Source organism: Homo sapiens, chromosome 8 (genome assembly GCF_000001405.40).
Source record: "Homo sapiens chromosome 8, GRCh38.p14 Primary Assembly".
Taxonomy (NCBI): domain Eukaryota; kingdom Metazoa; phylum Chordata; class Mammalia; order Primates; family Hominidae; genus Homo; species Homo sapiens.
The window spans coordinates 64,749,078-64,772,755 of NC_000008.11; the positions used below are offsets into that span (position 1 = coordinate 64,749,078).

The following is a 23,678-nucleotide window of genomic DNA, read 5'->3' on the forward strand; positions in this document are numbered from 1 at the left end:
TTTCTTTTTTCTCTTTTTTTTGAGACGGAGTCTTGCTCTGTCTCCCAAGCTGGAGTGCAGTGGTGTGATCTTGGCTCACTGCAACCTCTGCCTCCTGGATTCAAGAAATTCTCCTGCCTCAGCCTCCTGAGTAGCTGGGATTACAGGTGCACACTGCCACACCTGGCTGATTTTTGTATTTTTAGTAGAGACGGGGTTTCACCATGTTGGCCAGGCTGGTCTCGAACTTGTGATCTCAGGTGATCCACTCGCCTCGGCTTTCCAAAGTGCTGGGATTACAGGTGTGAGCCACCAAGCCCAGCCCAGATTTGTATTTTAGAAAGATCAGTCTGACTAAATGTAGAAAATAGATTAGAAGGGGGTAGAGAGAAAAGGTACCATAGTAATCCAGGTAAATGATGATGGCAAGCTGGACTGAGGGAGAGCAGTGGGGACAGAAAGAAATAGTGGATTTTAGAGCTATCTAAAAGTAGATTTGAAGACTTATTGAATCCTAAAGCTAGATACGTAAGAAACTCTGGGAAACGGGATAGGACACATGGGGTCAGTTATGTTCATGTGGCTATATTTCTATGGTCCAAAGAATATCACCTTGTTATAGTTCTTATAATGGCACTTTGTAATTCCCTGTATACGAGTTTGTTTCCTGCACCAGAGCAGTGGTTTTCAGTACTTTTCTACCTCCATACTATCCATATATTTAATCAACTTCCATTGAACTATTTCTTATTAAAAACAGGGTGGGTGGAAGGGGAAGGAGAAGAGAAAGGAAGCTCAATATCTCTAGGGGAAAATATGATACGGGAGTTGGAAATCCTCCACTAACTACATAAAAAGTTTCTTGACAGCAGGTGAGGTATCTTTTTATTGTGTTTACCTGAAACCTAGCACAATGTCTGGCACAAAACCAGGTGCACACTGTTTCTTGAATGAATAACTAAATGAATAAATGCATGCTAAAATGCTCCTAGACATTTAGCCATACAATCTGTAATGATACTCCAGGAAAAAAGAACAAGCTCTCCCCTCTGTCTAACTTTCTATGATTGATTTTCCTTTCAAGGCTTTTTTATTTGCAGGTTAGGGGTGGGTAGATGAGACAGAGGATATGAACATGAAAATAAGAGTAAAGTTTCAGGTCCAGAGTCATGAAGTTTCAGGGATGAAATGATTCTCCACCTTTACCTCACTTTAAAGAGTACGGAAGTGAGGCATGGCAACCAACAGGATCTAGATCTACTGACCCAAATCCAGTGGTCTTTTTCTCTCCAAAACCTTACAACCCAAACCTTTCACAGGCTTAAAACATCTAGATGTTGCAAAGGATCTCAATTTAAGGGCATGTTTGAAGTCAAAGGAATGAATTTAATCACCTTTGCTTCTTAGGGAAAAATTAAGTTGCAAAGAAGATATTGGTTCCATCTGTTGGTTTATTTTTCATTTGTCTGTTTCCCAACTTGATCCAAGCACATAAATATCCCTAAGCAACCTTTAAGTACAGTAGATATTGTGCTTTGAACATCTGCAAACAAGTGATTCTCCAAATCCTTAGTGTGGTAGCAGGAGAGGGAACCAAGCTTTTCTGGAGTGTTATCAAGGGGAAATGTGAAGAGTCCCTGGGACTGCTGATCAGTAACTTAATACTGAGTTGAACTTGCTTCTCCCTCTACCCTGGGTTTAAACCACTTCCCAGCACCAATCTTAATTCTTGTGTTTTGTTCTCTTTAGGTTCTCCCAATTTCTCCAGAACAAAGGTGATTCCTATACTAAGACTACTTTCCAGGCACCACGGCTTGGTACCCTGCCCTCTAGGCATCACTGATGCTACCTGTCCCGCTGTACGCTTCTTGACCTTCCCTTTACATCATGCCAGGACACCATCCTCACGCCAACTGCTGGATCTTCTTGCTGTTTAACATCAACTTCCCATGAATTTCCTGCTGCAGGGATAGTTCCCTGTCCAGTTCCATTTTCAGTAGATGTGCCTTTATACTGGGTCCCTGGTTGCTTCCTGTGACAATATTCTAAATTATTTTCTTAAAATGTAAACTGTTTTAAATTTTAAAAGTAATGTGCTTTCATTGGAGACAATTTTTAAAAGAGAGATGAGGAAAAGAAGAAAATAAATGTGACCTGTCATCATATCTCTCAAAGATAACCACTGCTAGTATTTAGGTATATGTCCCTTATAAACCCACACAATTCGCATACAGACATACAGAGTCTTATCCACAAAATGACATCACATGGAATTGTAAACCTGTTTTTCTCTTTATCTCATAATATGGTATAAACATTTTCATGCCATTAAGTACTCCTATACGATGTATTTTTAATATATGAATATAATTCCATTTTAGGGATATAACATAATCTATATTAACCACCCTTTGTTATTGGTTGCTATTTAATTTATTTTTACTACTATAATAAATGCTATAATATATAGCATTCATATAAGGATGCAATAAGTACATATATTAATCATCTTCAAGCACCTCTATGATTATTTCCCAGGGACAAATTACTAGAATTACAATTGCTTAGTCAAACGGCATGCATGCATTTCAGCCTTTTGATGCATATGGGAAAATTGTCTTTCAGAAAAACTGAAGCAATATACTATGCAACTGACAGTATATGGGAGTGCTTACCCTTGTCTGAATAGCCTTTTCTTTTCTGCCTCAAAAACTAGGACATCTTAACTATTTACCCAGGATCATAAGATCAGATTTTGCTTTGAATACTGCCTTCAACAGACCGTAAACCTGGGCATGGTTCCTAACCTCTCTGACCTTTTAATCTCTCTAATAGCATGTGAAAGAACATAGCACCACATAGGCACCCAATAATTCACAATAAAAGTTTATTTTTTTTCCTTTCTTATGTCATACACCAGCCAACATGTAAATTATCATTGCCACTCAATTTTGTTATTTATATTCTTATGAATATGTTTGTTCTAGAAAAGCAACACCATGATCCACTTTCCAGGGATGTACTGTGATGAAATGCCAGGCCACCTATAGAATTAGAAAGCAATATCACTCATTGCCAGCAGATGCCACTACCTGATCCATGATGTATGTACTCCAGAAAAAAAAAAAAAATCTTAACAGTACTGTATAAGGTTCCAGGTGCTGTAAGCAAGTCAGTGATCTAGCTAGATCATGAGTGATACACACCTGAAATTATGTAAAAAACTATATAAAGAAGTTTACTTACAAACAGGTCTACATATTTTGGAATATATTTTCATAATGAAATGTCTTGTCCAACTTTCTGTTAAATAAATTGTGTGTGTGTATGTGCATGTGCGTGTGTGTGTGTGTGTGTGTGTGTGTATAAATCAAGTTAAACTCCAAAGTTCCTCTGAGAGGTTTATATTAATTATGAGCTGCTCTCCGATGTATCTCTGCCACCCACGGAGTTCTAATGACTTTAAAATATGCTAGTAATGAGGAAAGACATATGGGATATTATGTAGAGCTGAGGTAGGTGGTAAGAGATACAGAATGGGACTCAAGGAGAGAATATATTTTTCTAATGTTCTCTGTGTGAAATTACACACTACAGTATTTGAAGAGAAACTGCAAAATCTTATGTCCTTTTCTACATATGTAAGTCTATACATGTATGCCTGAAACCTTGATCCTATGTACAAATATAGGGTCAAATTTTATATATATGAAATGTTTATTATAATTTCTCTTGCAATTCATAAAGAAAGTGCAATCTGAGAAACTTCTGCACTTTAATGGCAGCCATCAATGTCTTGTCTCTGAATACCCTGGCTTAGGTTTTCCACTTAGAGATGATGAAAGCTTTGGTAATTTACTATTCATATACTACTTCTGCTACATATTAAAGAGATCAGAAGAAAGTTGAGAGAACACACAGATAGCATACACACACACACACAATTAACAATCTGAAAAAGTTTAAAGAGTGTGCAAAAATTAAAGGTCAAATATGAAGATTTTCCTGTGTTTGAAATGTTATTTTCCACTGAAGATTTAAAGAGAAGACTTTTATTTATAAAGTACAAGAATACAATGGTTCTCTCTAAATGGTTAACACTCTTTTAAAAATAAACAATAGACTTATATTTGGAAAGACTGAAAAGAATTCCTCATTAAAAATATTAATAGCATTTTTTTCAAAGCCAAAAACAAATGCCAAATACCTACTATCTGGGTTTGTTCTTGATTTCCAATTTATTGATAGCATCTAAAATGTCTGTCTTCTTTGTTGAGATCTGAAGCTTTATGTTAACATTTAGCATCACATCAGCTCTCCTTGCTTTGCAATCCAACTTGGTTTCTTCTATATACTAAGCAAGTATATGTAGACGTTCTTCGAAGTCCAAGCATGTAACCTTGTCACACCAAGGACTAATGTCCAGTTTGAGGAAAAGCAAACCACTCTGCAGAGAATGAGTCAGACCACTGGGATTGAGGTATGCCCATTCACGCAAAAGGAAGGAATACGTGACAGGACAACTCAGGGGCCAGGGCAGTGGTGAAATAGACAAGACTCTCGCCCTCATGAGGCCTACATTGTAGTCACTGGGAACAGGCAAGAACCAGTACACAAATACATTAAGCCAGTAAGTTTCAAACCAGATAAATCTATAAAGAAACGAAATGAAATCATTTCACAGGGTGAGAGGACTGCTTTAGAAAGGATGGCGAGGAGAGGCCTCTCTGAGGAGGTGACACTTGAGCTGCACTTTGGGTGACAATCTTGACCCCACTGTAAGAATGTGAGGGCTGAGCTCCAGTCAGAAGAGGAAGGGGGCATAGCAGAGCCAGCTCACCATGTCCATGCAACAAAGAGGCCAGTGTGGTTGGTGCTCATACACAACCATGTCCATGCAACAAAGATGCCAGTGTGGTTGGTCCCATACACAACCATGTCCATGCAACAAAGAGGCCAGTGTGGTTGGTGCTCGTACACAACCATGTCCATGCAACAAAGATGCCAGTGTGGTTGGTCCCCATACACAACCATGTCCATGCAACAAAGAGGCCAGTGTGATTGGTGCCTGTACACAGAGGGGACAGAGGGTGTGAGGAGGCTTCTGTGTGGGCCCTGTGGCTCTAAATAGGATGCTCGTTCTATTCTCAGAGGAATGGGAAGTCGGGAAGAGTCTGAAACAGGAGAGTGGTACGCATGATATGATTACATCACGAAAGCCCTGCCCAAAAAATGCAGGGTATCTTGAATATATTTTTAGTATTGAAATATTTGAGGCCAACTTGGTGCATTACATTAATAAATTTAATTTTTAAGATCTGCAGGAGGTCTCAGGGCTTGGGAATGTTTTATCATTGGAACTGTGCTTGCCCTAACAGTAAGTTGAAGTGCTCACAAAGATAATCTATTACATTTAAAACAATCTTTAAATGTTTAAGATAATTTAACAAGTAGGGGTCAAGTCAGAGACTGGAAGGACTAGAGGAAGTAAGTCCAACAAAGGTGAGCAGAGAGACAATGCAGGCAAGCAGTAGGGAGGGAGGGAGGCCTGGAGTTAGGGGATTCAAGCCCTTGAGCAAGGCTAGGCCATGGGAAGAAGGCAAGGTGAGTTTGACCATTAGGATCCTGGGGATGGAGGTGCAGCTACAAAGGCCTTGACAGTAGTCTGAACTTTGCCATGGTGATGAAAAGCCCCTGCAGAGTTTTTAAGCAGAGGAGTGATATGTTGAGAATTAAGGAGGAGTAATATCTTTGAGGGAAAGTGTGAAGAAAGGAAAGCAGAGAGCTGAGGATTGAGCCTTGGGTAAGGCCTATATTTCTATAGGGAATTTCAGATCAAGAAATGAGTCAGTGAAAGATCTTGAAGATCTTAAGAGCAGTATGGTGGGAACCAGAGGTGAAGTTTTCAAGGAGACCAAGAAGTGGAAAACACACTGGCTTTAACGATTGCAAGTTCCACCAGCAACTTTGGGGAATGGAGAGTCATTGAGGCCTATGGTGAGGCCAGAGGGGAAATAAATTGGCAAATCATGGTAAGTTCATGGCAGACCTGAGATTTGTGCTTAGGGTCACGTTTGCCTCACCGCAGGCTGACTGCCAGGTGTGTGCATATGTGTGTGTGCGTGCATGTGTGTGTTTTAACACGGGTGATAAACTTTTGCAGAGGTCAGGGGAAACCAGCCAGTCCTCAAAGATTCCATGTAAGTGCTTCATATGATTAGTGAAAGGACGTTCTGCTTCTTCCATTTTATTTGTAACAGCACTTCACTTTCCTCAGTCTCTCCCATAGCACTGTTATCCCATCCATTGTCTGTCTGGTTTCTTTTCCTGTTAACCAGAGTCCGGCAATTTATTTTTATTTTTTATTTATTTATTTTTTTGAGATGGAATCTTGCCCTGATCCCCAGGCTGCAGGGCAATGGCACGATCTCGGCTCACTGCAACCTCCGCCTCCCAGGTTCTAGTGATTCTCCTGCCTCAGCCTCCACAGTAGCTGGGATTACAGGTGCCCGCCACCACACCCAGCTAATTTTTATATTTTTAGTAGAGACGGGGTTTCACCATGTTGGTCAGGCTGGAGACCGGCAAATTTTTTTCTGTACAAAGCTGGATAGTAAATGTTTTAAACTTGTGGACCAAGAGGCAAAATCAATCATATTATGTAGGTATTTATACAACAAGAGGGGGACAAAATTTCCACATATTTCTCATTGATGAAATTTAAAATATAAGAATAATTTAGTACAATTTTTTTGGTAATATAGGTCTACTAATGGAAAGAATGAAATTATTTTAGGGGGAGTCAACATTTCACTTAATTGGAATTCTAAGTTAGTGTTCTCAATCATCAAATCAGTTGCAAATATTTACCTGTAAAATAATTCCTAGCTAGTACACCATAGAAAAAGAGGTACAGGTGGTGGGCTGGCTTTGACCTGCAGGCTGTAGTCTGCTGAGCCCTATTCTAAAAGTTACATCATTCGTCCACCTGTGTGCTTTATACCAGGAGGTTTTGCAGCAGATAACCAGAGAAAGAAGTGTCTAGCTTCCATGGTAGTGCCCAATGTCTGTAATTCGACTTCATGTCCAACTTTTAACTCTTTTCCCTCATTTCCCCCCCTCTAGTCCTTAATGGAATGAACTCTTTCTTGGTCTTCAATGTGGAGGCAGTTTGGGTTTTATGTCCAATGAGATGATTTTGGAGTTTCAGAAGAGCCCTGTCCTTCAAAAATGAAGTTGACTGACTAATGAAATGTCTTTAATTGGGTACATATTTTAATTTCACAGTTAGACAAGCATGTCAACATGCAAATACATCCAGAAAGAGAATATGTTGACAAGATCCTTCACATTAAGGTAGAAATAAACATCCAAACATTTTCTAAGCTCAGGGTTTGTTTTGGAAGCGGAATTTCTAGGTGCCAGGATAGGAAGAACTATCAAAGAGTAGAGGAAAGGAACCAGAATGGGGGCTTGCCAGCTTTCCATACTGCTGTCATGTGGCAAACCACAGAAAGAACAAGGCACGGCGAGAAGATTCTGCTAAATGCTGAGAAAACAGAAATGTTGAAACCATGCCCCTGCCCGCTAGCATCTCACAATCTGCTTCAGTGTAGCCTCTGCATCATAAAATTTAGCTTGGAAGGGACCTTAGGGATCATAAAATCCACATCTTTATTTCATAAATGAGAAAACTGAGACTCAGAGAAGTTGACACTAATTTTCTTTGTAACTTTGGACATGCTGTTTAATCTTTATGTTTCTGATCGCCAGAGAAAATGTGACCTTCAAGCACTTACGGAAAATAACAGTGCATTTTCTAAGAACTTTCATCTTCAGTTTGTGCTTACCCAGACGGTTTAAAGATTTATGGGCTTAGAAACACATCTCTGAGTCAGACGTACAGTGGGGATTTCCAGCACTTATTGTGGAGACCAGCCAGGTCTCCAGTTGACTCACTTGGAGGATGTTGACAAGCCTGAGTCCCAAAAGTGAGTTCATTTTGTAGAGTCCTAGGGTGAGAGCTCAAGCATTGGCCAAACAAGAGGAAGCCCTTCTGGTTTTGCCAGTCAACCAACCAGCAGAGTGAAAGAATATGGGCTTAGGAATCAGCTGCAGGCATGTTTGAGTTTCAGCTCAACTGCTCTGTAGCAGTAGTCTCAGACAATTCAGTTTGGCTTCCTACACTCAGTTTCCTCTGTGCAAGGCAGAGGACTAATACCAACTACAGTCATGTGGCTAGGATTGAATGAGATCATGAACTTAGAGTCTATCACAGAAACTGGGACATAATAGGTATTCCATAAAATAGGATTATTAATGCCCAACATGCTTATGCTTTTATACATTGATATTATATGCCCAAATTTCTCATAGAAAAAGGATAGTGAGAGGGAAAGTTCAGAAATTAGTTAAGTCTAAAGGCATTAGTATTTCCCTAGCATGTATACAGCCTTTATAAGGTTCATGGAGACTCCCAGGCCTACAGTAGCTACAGAGATCAACAATGGTCAGTGTCCTATGTGGCACCACTTCAAGATCATCTCAGGCCCAGTTCTTACATCAGCCACCATTGCATTAACCAAGTTCAGCACAGGCTTTTACCAGCTTCACTCAGGTGCAACTTGGCAGTACCTCACCTCTGATCTGCATTGCTGGCTTCTTGCTTTCTGCCTCTGGGCTTCTTTGATACTACAGTGTGGGACATTCCAATAAAACCCTGAATACTCACACATGTGACTCTGGAGAGCGTGGAGGAGTTAACACCCACAGAACTGCCTTCATCCAATATGGGATGGGAATCTGTGCATGCATGCTTCTTGCCCCTTTGATCCTCCCATGGGGACAGTTCTCAGACACATTTCATGAAGCTTCTCAGAAAGTCACACCAGATACTAAGTACAAGTAGGGGCCATCTCCATAACACACCTTTGGACTGGTTTCTTTCCTTCCTTCCCCATCCTTTGCTCCTGTTCCCTAGGGTCGCATTCCCAATTAAACTACCTATGCACAAGCCTCTGCTTCAGGCTCAGGCTCTGCTTTCAGGGGAATGCAGGCTAAGATACCACCTATTCCTATGGTTACCTAGAACAAAAGGCTTGCAGAGAATAAAGGGGCAGTAGAGAGTCCACTGCCCCTTTATGGAGGAAAAATAAATGGCTGGAGTGCTGTCTCCTCTCCTCGCTCCTGTAACAAATGTCACTGGCTGAATGAGATGTTCTTTCCCAGAAAGCCCAGACACAGCCTCAGAACCCTTCTCTCCACTGCTGCAGACAATCTCCATCAACTGACTAAAGTTAATCCTTAAGATAAAATTCATTTGCTATCTTGGGTCCAAGAGATTGGATTCAAGTCTCAAATAGTTACTAGCTATGTAGCTTTGAAACATCTCTCCTAACTTTTCTGAGCTTCGGTTTTCTCATCTATCAAACAGAGATAATAATTTGTTTCACATTGTTATTAAGAATATTTAATATTATTTAAATTTATTTAATATTTAATAACACAATATACTAAAGCACCTAGCCAGATCTTTGGCATATAGGAAATAATAAATGTAATTTTAGTCTCCCTTTTTCATTTTAAAATGCAAGGAGCAGGCAAAGAACAGACACAGTAACTCACTGCATAAACTGGGCAGGTCAACCTCTATCTTAAGATGTTACATCTGTAAAAAGGATGTAATTCATACCTCGATTCTTCACTGTGGTAAGGATCAGATGGAATAATGCATGAACCAGAGTACTGTTTCAATAGTAATACTAGGATTATTGTTGTATTTCAAATGAAAAATTCTAAGGACTACTGAGGCTACAAGATCGGTATTGCCCAGCTAAAAAAGGCCAAATCCTTAGTCCCTGCTCCTTATGTCAGACTGCTTCCCATCTGGGACATTCAGACAATTTTAACCACCATCTACAGCATGACAAACTCAAAGTGATTGTGTTGATGACCAAGAAGTTCACCAAACACCATGGAGTCCTGCTGTACTGTGAGAAAAGGAAGGAGGAAGAAGGTAAATAACTCTTAAGATGGGCTTCCTACTCTGATCAGCTCTAAATCAATGATTGAGGAACTAGCTATAGAAATCTGAATCTGCTGTAGCTCGCCAGGATGAAAGATGTATTCTTAAATGTGGCAAACTAGTGATTACATCAGGGTAGAAACATTACGGCTGATGGCAGAGCTACAAGGAGGCATACAGGACAAAATGCAAGAGGTCATCAGTCTGCTAATTTCTGAGTTAATAAATCCTCCCTCTACACAAAAGTCTAGTCCCTGAAACAATTCTGTCATCACTTTTGTCGCTTTTAATGGATAGACTTGCTGATGTTTATGATTACTTAAATCTCTAAATATCTATACTTCTCATACTATTTTGCAATAATAAATTCCCATGTGTTCCCCTCTGTTGACTGCACAAGAAATGAACTGAAAATCAAAAGAATGGTCAGCAAGAAAGAAGAGTAATATGTCAAATTACAAGAACCAGCAAACAAAGAACCCGATAAATTATTTTTTTTAATATGGAGAATGATCAAACTATGATATGAATATGAACTGTTAGACTTTTATGAAAATGAAAATTCAGACCTAGAATGGGTCATTGAGATCATGGAATACAAAATTCTTTATTTTACAGATAAGAACACTGAAGCTCAGAGTGGTTAAGCTATTTACATGAAGATCAGGCAGCTAATTAGTGAGAAAGATATTGCTGCTTGAAAGTCCAGAGATTTGAATCCAGCTCTCCAAATTTATTTTAAAATATTCTTTCCACTCAATCATAGCTGCACATCATGGGTAACATGGATTGTTTTAGAAAAAAATATACAAAAGTTAAAACAGAAGTTCACCATTTTATTTTCAGTTTTTTAAGCCCAAGAGAGGATCAATATTTCAGAGAATATGTTATAGAATTTTTATAATTAAAATGTAGATATAAGATTTTTGAAGTAATAATTCATAATCAAAATTGTTTTAACATAAAAATAGAATCACAGGCCAATAGAATAAAAACCCCAGAAGTAAACTCATGCATATATGATCAGCTAATCTTCAACAATATTGCCAAGGACACACAATGGGGAAAGGATAGTCTCCTCAATAAACAGTGTTGGTAAACCTGTATATCTCTGTGCAAAAGAAATTAAAGCCTTATCTTACACCATACACAAAAATTAACTCAAAATAGATTACAGACTCAAACATAAGGCCTGAAAAGCTCCTTGACATTGGTCTCAGCAATGATTTTTTGGTTATGACACCAAAAGCATAGGCAATAAAAGCAAAAATAAAAAAGTGAGACTACATCAAACTAAAAAGCTTCTGCACAACAAAGGAACCATAATAAAATAAAAGGACCATCGAATGGAAGAAAATATTTGCAAAACATATTTGATAAAAGGTTAATATCTAAAATATATAAGGAATTCATACCACCCAATAGCAAAATTAAAATAACCCAATTAAAAATTGGGCAAAGGACTTTAACAGACATTTATATCAAGGACACAAAAATGGCCACCAGGTACATGAAAAGGTGGTTGACATCACCAATCATCTGAGAAATGCAAATCAAAACCATAATGAGATATCACCTCACACTTGATAGGATGACTATTATCAAAATATAAGAAATAACAAGTATTGATGAGGGTGTGAAGAAGAGGGAATTCTTGTACACTGTTGGTGAGAATGTAAATTGGTATACCCATTACGTAAAACAGTATGGAGGTTCCTAAAAAAATTAAAAATAGAGCTACCATATGATCCAGCCATCCCAATACTGTGTATATATCCAAAGGAAATAATATTAGTATCTTCAAAAGATATCTGCACTCCAGTGTTCATTGTAGCATTATTCACAACAGACAAGATATGGAAATAACCTAAGTGTCTGTCAATGGATGAACAGATAAAGAAATTACAATAGAATATTATTCAGCCTTTAAAAAGACGCAAATGTTGTCACTTACAAGAACATGAATGAACTTGGAGGACATTATGCTAAATTAAATAAGCCAGACACAATAAAGCAAGCATTAGATGATATCACTTACACGTGGAATCTAAAAAGGTTGAACCTAGAGAAACAGAGAGTAGAATGGTAGTTGCTAAGGATTAGAAGGTGAGGGAAATGGGTAGATGTTAGTCAAAGGGTACAAACATTCAGCTGTAAGGTGACTAAGTTTTAGAGATCAAATGTACAGCTTGGTAGCTAAAATTAATAATAATATATTGTATATTTGAAATTTGCTAAATGACTAGATCTTAAATGCTCTCACTGCAAAAAATTGTTAACGTGAACTGATGTATATGTTAATTAGCTTGGTTGTGAGAATAATTACATAAGATATACTCATATAAAACACCATGTTAAACACTTTAAATATATATAATTTTTATTTACCAATTATGTGTCAATAAAGCTTGGGGGGAGGGGAATGTCTTAAAATGAACACTCATTTCCTCAAAGGGATTAATAATATTTTTAAAATGTATATATATGTAAGTACAGATTTGTCACTAGGAAAGAAATGACTGGAAATTATCAAACTAGAAACGAGTCTAGTCAGTTCCCAGAGTGCCGGACACATTCTTTGGGTAGAAAATATGCCTGCTCTCTGCTGACCACCTAAAGACCTACTTAGTGGCATGTGTTTTACACCAGAATGCACATAAACCAGAATATATTTAGGAGTTGGTCTATTTCTAGTCACACAAGTTTTGTTTCCTAAATAAGACTTCAGATTACCATTTGGGTTTGTTCCCCAAAATTTCAGCACTCCATATGGTTGAAGATGTAGTCCCATATTCTTAACAAGACCTTGTGTGAACTGTGTACAGTACTGTCTTCAAACTGTTCGCTCCTATGCATATTCCATGGTGAGTAGAAATGCAAGGTTTATGAGAGAAGCAGGAAACAGGCATGTTCCAAAGTTGAAGTTCTGAACTGCTTTCCAAATTTTCAAATGTAAAAATGTCTTTAGTTTGCTAAAACTGTTATAAATGATAGCACAGAACATACACACTCAGCTTATGGAAAGCCACAGAATATAGTAATTATCCTAATTAGAGCCCAAAAACCTACTATAGTAGCTTTTTTTAGTGCACTAATAATAACATTATAGCTGTAATTTTATGTTAGGTAAAATGATTATTTGTAAAGCTACATAAGTCTTATCTAAAATGATTATCTGTAAAGCTACAGAAGTTTAATACTGAGGATGTATTACAATTATTTTTGATATCAGGATAAAAATACCTGTTCATGAATGATGGTATTGATTTTCTCTTCTGACTTGTCTCCAGTTACAGGTGTAATAGCCAATATTACTTATATTAACAACTAGCACCCATTTTAAAATTTCTGTAGTGCTGATAATTTATATGCAAGGAAATTAAGACAATGAGTTATCAATACTTGGGTTGAATCAGTGTGAGAAACTAAAATGCAAATAGGTAAAAAAAATAGGTTACTTCACTAAGTTTTCATAATGCATTTGAAAACGTGGTTTCATAATGCAATGACCTGGGGCTACCAACTGTTTGTAATAGCACAAATCTAAACAGTATTATGGGCATATATTTCAATAGCTCACATCCTTCTTGAAAGAAAATCATTTTTCATGGCCATTATTCACATAAAAGTTCAAATCTCTCCAATCAGCTTTTATATAACAGTTTTATGGATTTATCTTAGGAACAAAATTAACCAAAAGACCCTGTAGTAGTTTTCCTTCCAGCATATCTTCTCTACCTATTTTATTATTCATTGTAAAACTACTGGGTGAATAGTATATGTTTTTTCAGATGTTTCTAATCAGTAGATAAATAGGTACACATAGTGCACAAAAATCTAAGACAGAGAAGGTGAATAAAAAAGTGTTATTTATGGGCAACCCCCTTTGGGTCCCCTCCCACTGTATGGGAGCTGTGTTTTCACTCTAGTAAATCTTGCAACTGCACACTCTCCTGCTCCGTGTTTGTTATGGCTCGAGCTGAGCTTTCGCTGGCCGTCCACCACTGCTGTTTGCCACTGTTGCAGACCCGCCACTGACTTCCACCCCTCCGGATCCAGCAGGGTGTCCACTGTGCTCCTGATCCAGCAAGGCGCCCATTGCTGCTCCTGATCGGGCTAAAGGCTCGCCATTGTTCCTGTACAGCTAAGTGCCTGGGTTCGTCCTAATCGAGCTGAACACTAGTTGCTGGGTTCCACGGTTCTCTTCTGTGACCCACAGCTTCTAATAGAGCTATAACACTCACCTCATGGCCTAAGGTTCCATTCCTTGGAATCCATGAGGCCAAGAACCCCAGGTCAGAGAACAAAAGGGATGCCACCATCTTGGGAGCAGCCCGCCACCGTCTTGGGAACTCTAACAACAAAGACCCACTGGTAACATTTGGTGGCCTCATACAGGGATTCTCTAAAGCAGTGAGTAATATCCGACCACTTTCGCTTGCTATTCTGTCCTGTCCTTCCTTAGAATTGGAGGAAAATACTGGGCACCTGTTGGCCGGTTAAAAACAATTAGCACGGCTGCCGGACTTAAGACTTAGGTGTGAGGCTGTCTGGGGAAGGGCTTTCTAACAACCCCCAACTCTTTTGGGTTGGGAGCACTGGTCTGCCTGGAACCAAATTCCACTTTCAGTTTTCCTGGGGAAGCCGAGGCCGCCTAGAGGCAGAAAGCTGTCATCCCGAACTCCCAGCATTAGCCAGCTGAGATCATGGCATAGCCAGAAGTCTCTACCCAACAGTCGCCCATGCGTGTGCCCCTACCTTTCCTTCTGACCCATACCTCCTGGGTCCCGACCATGACTTTCTTGAAAGTGTAGCCCCAAAATTCTCCTTAGCTCTGAATCTACTTCCTCCGATCCCTGCCTCCTAGGTACTAATGGTTCAGACTTTCATTTCCTCTAGCAAGTTGTATCTCCAAAGAGATCTAAGGAAGCTCTACACTGTGTCCTTAGGCATCTAGGCTATGAACCCAGGGAGTCCTGTCCCTGGTGTCCCTCCCAATTTAGGTATACAGCTCTCAACATAGGCAGTTATGTGGGACCCGTTCCCCACCACTCTTGCCAGGGCCCCAAGTTTGTAAATGGCTAGGAAGATTGCTCTCCCATTGTGTAAGATGCTCTCCTCCCCGAATTTCTACCCAGCTTCCACGCTGCCCCCCCCACCCCCTTCCCCCGCCCCCTGCAATACAATCTCCAAGCCTTGGCTCCTTGGTCAGGGCCTTAGAACTGATAACCCAGTACTTTAACAACTGGAACTGGGTCTACAACAACATAATAGATCAGGATAAAAGTGAATTGAGTAAGTCAGAGGCACAGAGAGAGAAAGAAGGGAAAGAGAGGCAGAGAGAAAGACAGAAAGGAAGAGAAAGATAGAAGTAGTAAAGAAAAAACAATGTGCCCTATTCCTTTAAAAGCTGGGGTAAATTTAAAACCTATAATTGATAATTGAAGGCCTTCTCCGTGACCCTGTAACACTCCAATACTACCTTGTTGTCAGTGTAAACAAGGGCATACCCTGAAAACACTGAGACAACCCGTAGCCTTCTTATCAAAAATTCTTAACCCAGTAACCCACAGATGGCCCAAATACATTCAAACTGTAGTGGCAACTGCTTTGCTAACAGAAGAAAGTAGAAAAATAACCTTTAGAGGAAAACTCATTGTGAGCATACCTCACCAGTTCAGACTATCCTAAGTCAAAAAGCAAAAAGGTAGCTTACTAACTAAAAAATCTAAAAGGATAGTGCTATTCTGTTAGAAAAAGGTGATTTAACATTAACCACTGAAAAATTCCCTAAACCCTGCAGATTTCCTAACAGGGGATTTAAATCTCAATTACCACACAAAGTTCCGACCAGACCTAGACAGGACGATAGATGGTTCCTCCCAGGTGATTGAGGAAAAAAAAAAAAAAACACAATGGATATTCAGTAATTGATAGGGAAACTCTTGTAGAAGCAGAGTTAGGAAAATTGCCTAATAATTGGTCTGCTGAAACCTGAAAGTTGTTTGTACTCAGCCAAGACTTAAAGTATTTGCAGGATGAAAAAAAAAAAATCTATACCAATTCTAAGTCAATTTGGACTAAACAAGGTCTTATTAATAGCAAAGGATAATTGAAATCCTAAATCTACAAGGTTTTCAACAAAAGTAAAGTTTGCTAAAAGTTAACAGTGTAACCTGCATTATCCTAATCTTGCGGCCTTAGACAGTCTAGTCCACAGACATAAAGGAAGTTCACATTGGAAAAAAATGGTTATCATCTTTAAAAATCTCTATCTCAATCCTGGCTCAAAAGGTTGCTTACACCCTCTATGAAATGAATTTGCATAAGAACTGTTGTTTATGGGAATGCATCTTGATGGGGCAACTGGGCTGTTATGAAATACTCAGGAACCCAGCCCAGCTCTAGGACTCACCCCTGAGCACAAAGGCAATGTTGGGCACACTGGTAAAGGACTGCTAGAATCCAGCAGCCCGGACCCCTTTTTCTGTGGTCAACAAAGGCAAGAAAAGGGGTGCAGGACTGCTACATCAGTGAGCGTTAACTAATCCGATAAGCAGAGGTCCATGGGTGGTTACGCACCCTGGAAAGGAGTAAGCATTAGGACCATAGAAGACGCTCTTGGACTAATGCTCGTCAGAAAATGACTAGGGGTGCTGGCATCCCTATGTTCTTTTTCCAGATGGGAAATGTTCCCCCCAAGGCAAAAACGCCCCTAAGATGTATTCTGGAGAATTCGGCCCAGAGTGCATGTACCTCTTTCCCTCTCAGACTTGAAGCAAATTAAAATAGACCTAGGTAAATTATCAGATAACCCTGATGGCTATATTGATGTTTTACAAGGGTTAGGACAATCCTTTTATCTGACTTGGAGCCATATATTGTTACTGCTAGATTAGACACTAGCCCCAAATGAGAGAAGTGCTGCCATAACTGCAGCCTGAGAGTTTGGCGATTTCTGGTATCTCAGTCAGGTCAATGATAGGATGACAAAAGAGGAAAAAGAACAATTCCCCACAGGCCACCAAGCAGTTCCCAGTGTAGACCCTCACTGGGACGCAGAATCAGAACATGGAGATTGGTGCCACAGACATTTGCTAACTTGCGTGCTAGAAGGACTAAGGAAAACTAGGAAGAAGCCTATAAATTATTCAATGATGTCCACTATAACATAGGGAAAGGAAGAAAATCCTACTGCCTTTCTGGAGAGACAAAGGGAGGCATTGAGGAACCAAACCTCTCTGTCACCTGATTCTATTGAAGGCCAACTAATCTTAAAGGGTAACTTTATCACTCAGTCAGTTGCCGACATTAGAAAAAACTTCAAAAGTCTGCCTTAGGCCCAGAGCAAAACTTAGAAACCCTAATGAACTTGGCAACCTTGGTTTTTTATAATAGAGATCAGGAGGAGCAGGCGGAACGGGACAAACGGGATTAAAAAAAAAAAAAGGCCACTGCTTTAGTCATGGCCTTCAGGCAAGTGGACTTTGGAGGCTCTGGAACAGGGAAAGGCTGGGCAACTCGAATGCCTAATAGGGCTTGCTTCCAGTGCGGTCTACAAGGACACTTTAAAAAAGATTGTCCGAATAGAAATAAGCCACCCCCTCGTCCTTGCCCCTTATGTCAAGGGAATCACTGGAAGGCCCACTGCCCCAGGGAACGAAGGTCCTCTGAGTCAGAAGCCACTAACCAGATGATCCAGCAGCAGGACTGAGGGTGCCCAGGGCAAGCGCCAGCCCATGCCATCACCTTCACGGAGCCCCAGGTATGCTTGACCATTGACAGCCAGGAGGTAAACTGTCTCCTGGACACTGGTACAGCCTTCTCAGTCTTACTCTCCTGTCCCAGACAACTGTCCTCCAGATATCTCACTATCCGAGGGGTCCTAGGACAGGCAGTCACTAGATACTTCTCCCAGCCACTAAGTTGTGACTGGGGAACTTTACTCTTTTCACATGCCTTTCTAATTATGCCTGAAAGCCTCACTCCTTTGTTAGGGAGAGACATCCTAGCAAAAGCAGAGGCCATTATACACTAGAATTAGGAGAAGGAAAAAGGGTAAATACATATACAGACTCTAAGTATGCTTACCTAATCCTCCATGCCCATGCAGCAATATGGAGAGAAAGGGAATTCCTAACTTCCGAGGGAACACCTGTCAAACATCAGGAAGCCATTAGGAGATTATTATTGGCAGTACAGAAACCTAAAGAAGTGGCAGTCTTACACTGCCAGGTTCATCGGAAAGGAAAGGGAAATAGAAGGGAACTGCCAAGCGGATATTGAAGCCAAAAGAGCCGCAAGGCGGGACCCTCCATTAGAAATGCTTATAGAAGGACCCCTAGTATGGGGTAATCCCCTCCAGGAAACCAAGCCCCAGTACTCAGCAGAAGAAAGAACGGGGAACCTCACGAGGACATAGTTTCCTCCCCTCAGGATGGCTAGCCCCGAAGAAGGAAAAATACTTTTGCCTGCAGCTAACCAATGGAAATTTTAAAACCCTTCACCAAACGTTTCACTTAGGCATTGATAGCACCCATCAGATGGCCAAATCATTATGTACTGGACAAGGCCTTTTCAAAACTATCAAGCAGATAGTCAGGGCCTGTGAAGTATGCCAAAGAAATAATCCCCTGCAATTCAGGTCATACATTTCAATCCCTGTATCTTTAACCTCCTTGTTTAAGCTTGTCTCTTCCAGAATCAAAGCTGTAAAACTACAAATCGTTCTTCAAATGAAACCCTAGATGCAGTCCATGAGTAAGATCTACCGCAGACCCCTGGACCAGCCTGCTAGCCCATGCTCCAATGTTAATGACATTGAAGGCATCCCTCCCGAGGAAATCTCAACTGTACAACCCCTACTACGCCCCAGTTCAGCAGGAAGCAGTTAAGAGCAGTCGTTGGCCAACCTCCCCAACAGCACTTGGGTTTTCCTGTTGAGAGGGGTGACTAAGTGATGGGACTAGCTGGATTTCCTAAGTCGACTAAGAATTCCTAAGCCTAGCTGGGGAAGGTGACCGCATCTACCTTTAAACACGGGGCTTGTAACTCAGCTCATACCCGACCAATCAGGTAGCAAAGAGGGTTCACTAAAATACAAATTAGGCTAAAGCAGGAGGTAAAGAAATACTCAAATCATATATCACCTGAGAGCACAGGGGGAGGGACAATGATCGGGATATAAACCCAGGCATTCAAGCAAGGAGGGGCAACCCCCTCTGGGTCCCTTCCCATTGTATGGGATCTCTGTTTTCACTCTATTAAATCGTGCAACTCCAAAAAAAAAAAAAAGTGTTATTTACATTTCAGAGAGCAATTCTTTAGTAATTTGCTCTTCTGATGCATTTTCAATATTTAGTTTGTTTAAAAAATTGATGTTTTAAGTCTTTTCCTGTAATAATGTTCTGAGAGGCTGCTTTTTAAAGTCACATTTCACTTAATAATTGATAAACAATCATCGAGTTATTCACATATGAGAGAAAAAGAAAGAGATCGTTCACTTAGAGCTCTCTGTGCACATGAAACTCTACTAAGCACTTAACATCTTCTGTCTCATTTATGCCTCATGTCAAACTATGAGATAAGTCTTATTGTGTCCAATTTACTTATGTGACCCATAGCAGCAAAGTAGCTTATCTAAGATTATATGGTGGTATGTGGCTAAGCTTTAATTCAAAGGTTTTCCCAATTTTAGGCAACAAACAAATGTCTGACTTCACCATTAAAAATACTAAGCCAAACCACAGCAAACTAAAACAAAACAAAGCCCTCAATAAAAGAATCACCTACCTTTGAGTGGCTCTAACTTCCTGGTGGGCTTTCCAACATAAACTGCAAACTCTATGAGTTTGTTGCACAGGATTCTTATCTACACATCAGTTTTTTTATGGATCACCCACCCCATCATACATTTTTGCAACAAATATTATACATACTAAATTTTAAAATATTGTTTTTAATGCTCATGACATCACATTCTTAAAAATGTTTTTCTGAGACAGATTATTGTTAAATTATCACAATCATTAGTTGCAAACAATTGAGTAAAACCAAATAAATGCATTACACATTGTGATATATTACTCTTAAACCTAAAAAGTAAAATTTATAGTAATTTAATCTCATAATAAGATCTATGGAACGGGATGGCACCATGCCTTGATGAAAACATCATAACAAACACAAATATTTGAATCTCTACTTTTTTCTCCCCAGCCAAGAGATTTTTATACCTTGAGACAATAGTAAGATTCAATGAGAGTTGGAATATTGTGAAAGATGAAGTAGGAAAGACTCCTTGGCACACGAGCATGTTTTTGTGCTAACAATGTTAGAAAAAAAATAAAGTCTATAAAAGTTGAGAGCCCAAAACCTGATTACCTTCACCCTATCCTCTGTGTATCCTCCCAGGGCAGCATAAACCCAATTTTGTATTCCATTTTTTTCTAAAGACTTTTTTACCCCGTCCTAAGCCTCCATGCCCAATTAAATTTTAATTGTGTGACCTTCCACAAAAAGAATTAAATATTAACGCTTGAATGTATTCCATCCAGTATACTTCACAGCAATGCCATCTGCTGTTATGTGGTTCAGCATCCATACTTTCTGCATTTCCAGACTTTCCTTTTGTTCTTCCAAGGCAAATTGATCGCTTTCTCCTCCCTCAAATGTAATCTTCACTTCCCTGTCTCCGTGCCTTAACCCACACCTCCACCTTCATTCCCCCCATCCTACTGAGCATACACCCAAAAGTCTATTCTTCCTGAAGACTGACATCCACCTCATTCTCCAAACAGTGGGCCAAGTACCACCACCTTCAAGTCTTCACAGAACAATACGGGGACAACGGTAGGACAACTCCTTCCTTTCTGAAGTCCAGCAAGTCCCAAAGTTCTTACCATCCTTCTTTATCTCATCTTTATTGTTAATAGTCTCAATTACATTTGTGTGTGTGTGCGTGTGTGGACGCATGTGTGTGAATGTCCTCAGTTTCACCACAATGCATCCCTAAAAGCCATATTGGGAAGCAGATTGTCATCAAGCCCATTTATGTTTTCCACCTGGCACCATGCACTACTCTAAGAACATGGAGGGATATATAAATCATAGATGAGACCAACCGTGTGCCATAAAACCAAACAATAGAAAACCTCTAAATCTCAAAAAAAAATTTGGAAAAAAATTAAACTATAGTTAAGCCATAAAGTTTCAGAGTTGGAATAGATCTTAGAGTTCCCAGAAAAGCCCCTGATTTTACAGATGGGGACTTTAAGACATAAAGAGGGTGAAGAACTTGTCTTCAATCTCAGAGCTGAGATATGATGGAAATGGAACTCAAGCACAGCTCTGTTGACAGGCAGACCAAAGCTCTTTCCAGTATATTCTCTGCCCTGTTATAAATACCTATTAAAAGGGGCATACTTTACACACTGATTATTTAAGGACACTTAATATGCAATAAAGTATTCATCTACCATAAAAATAAAACTATTGAACAATAAATCTAAAACCAATATACTCACCATAATAAACATTAAACAAACAACACAAATAAAAACCCAAGGATGAGCTCCTTGAGAGTGGCAGCCAGCCATTCCTTGGTGCTCAAGAGTGCCTGGCACACCAGAGTTACACACATTGGGTGGATGAACCCACAGTCCATGTGCCAGCCTCCTTAGGCTCTCCCCATGGCTAGTTGCTAGAGCTATAAAATCTATCCAGGGGAAATCTAAACACGCTTTCCCTTCCCCATAAATATCCCAGTAGCATGCAGAGATAATCCAAACATTAGTTGATCATTTAGTTCAAAGATTAATTTGCAGCATCTAAAAATTTGAAGCTGTCACTTAAGAACTTAGTTGACATGGTTTAGAGCTATAGTTCTAAACATATGGGGAGTTTTGAAAACAACTTCCTCAATCTTCACTAATTGAATCAGAATCTCAAGAGTGGGATATCAGCATCTTTTTTTTTTTTTTTTTTTTTTTTTTTTTTTTTAGACAGGGTCTTGCTCTGTCGCCAGGCTGGAGTGCAGTGGCACAATCTCAGCTCACTGCAACCTCCGCCTCCTGGGTTCAAGTGATTCTCCTGCCTCAGCCTCCCAAGTAGCTGGGACTACAGGTGCATGCCACCATGCCCAGCTAATCTTTTGTATTTTTAGTAGAGACGGGGTTTCACCATGTTAGCCAGGATGGTCTCGATCTCCTGACCTCATGATCCGCCCGCCTCGGCCTCTCAAAGTGCTGGGATTACAGTCGTGAGCCACCATGCCCAGCCTCATTCTTTTTAAAAATGTACATGCTTTAATAATATTTCTGATACACTGTGAACATTGAGTTGTTTGGAGTCTACACGTTTTGTCAGTTAGGTTCTCACTTCTTTTTTTCTTTATATTTTCTGCCAAATTGATAGAATTCTTCAGCTTCAAATAACAGAAACTCAACCTACACTAATTTACACACAAAGAAGAATGTGCTTACATAACTAAGGTCAGGAGTAAAACTAAAACTGGCCTCAGGTGCAGGGGTCAATGCCCTCAGGGGTCTTTTGATCCCTCCACCTATTCTGAGTCCCTCTCCCATGTGCTGTAGTCTCTTGCTTGTTTCCCAGCTTAAATTCCATGGCCAATCATCATAATCATTCCCTGGCTCTCTCTCTCAACTGCGTTCTCCTTCTCATTCTACATGAAGCTTATAGACAAAACTATAACTCCATTAGCACAATCCTCTGCCTGCTCCATACTTTGCCCATGCAGCTGAACATGGACAGAGAAAAACATACAATCTTGCTGGTGTCACTTAAAATTAATGACCACAAACCTGGGGTGACCCTGCATCCTGTCCAGCAATCATACCATATTCCCTACTCCATTCACTCATCCACTTTCCTGGACAAGTAATGTACACCTTCCCTTCTTTCCCCAAACTCCTAAGACCTCATCCCACATGTCACTCTCATAAGATGACCTTGCTTCCTATTTGATAAGAAAATTGAAGCAATCTGAAGAGAATTTTTACAGACTCTCAGCACCACCATCATCCACCAACTAGCTTTGCACACCATGCCTTCCTTTACTATCTTTTTCTATGAAGGAAATAATCCATGCCTCTGCCTAAACCCAACCCTCCTCTCATATGCAAGATCCCATCTCTGATGGCTTGGCATATATTCATCCATTTGTCTGGGTCACATTGCCCAGATATTTGGTTAAACATTAGTCTGGATATTTCTGCAAGGGTGTTTTGGATGAAATCAACTTTTAGCTCCATGGACTTTGAGTAGGACAGATTGTCCTCTAGAGTGTGAGCCAGCCACATCCAATCAGTTGAAAACCTGAATAGAACAGAAAGAAGTTCCAGGAGCAGAAAAGAATCCTGCAGCCAATGGCCTTGAGACTTGAACTGCCGCACTAACTCTTCTCTGAGTCTCCAGTGCTCTGCCTCACCCTGCAGATTTTGGACTTGCCAGCCTCAGTAATCATGTGAGCCAATTTCTTACAGTTTTCTTATGCACACACAGGCGCACACGCACACACACATCCTGTTGGTTCTGTTTCTCTGGAACCTACTTACAGGTGTCTGGCTTCTACCCTGTCTACTGCACACCATTTCAGAACAAAAATCAAATTACCTGACTCCTCTTTTCCTATTCCTTCAATGGATCCCCATTTCAT

General features: G+C 40.0%; 1 protein-coding gene across 2 annotated transcripts in view, besides 1 other annotated feature; it reads right to left on the reverse strand.

The window, feature by feature from the left end:
• Nucleotides 1-23,678, reverse strand: part of CYP7B1 (cytochrome P450 family 7 subfamily B member 1) — a 212,163-nt gene that overhangs the window by 162,503 nt on the left and 25,982 nt on the right. The window lies entirely within an intron of this gene.
• Nucleotides 7,778-7,987: an enhancer, noted in NCBI's record as "active region_27457". NCBI's record gives its function as "activates an Ori minimal core promoter by ATAC-STARR-seq in GM12878 lymphoblastoid cells {active_cell/tissue: GM12878}" and the evidence as "EXISTENCE:reporter gene assay evidence [ECO:0000049][PMID:35858748]".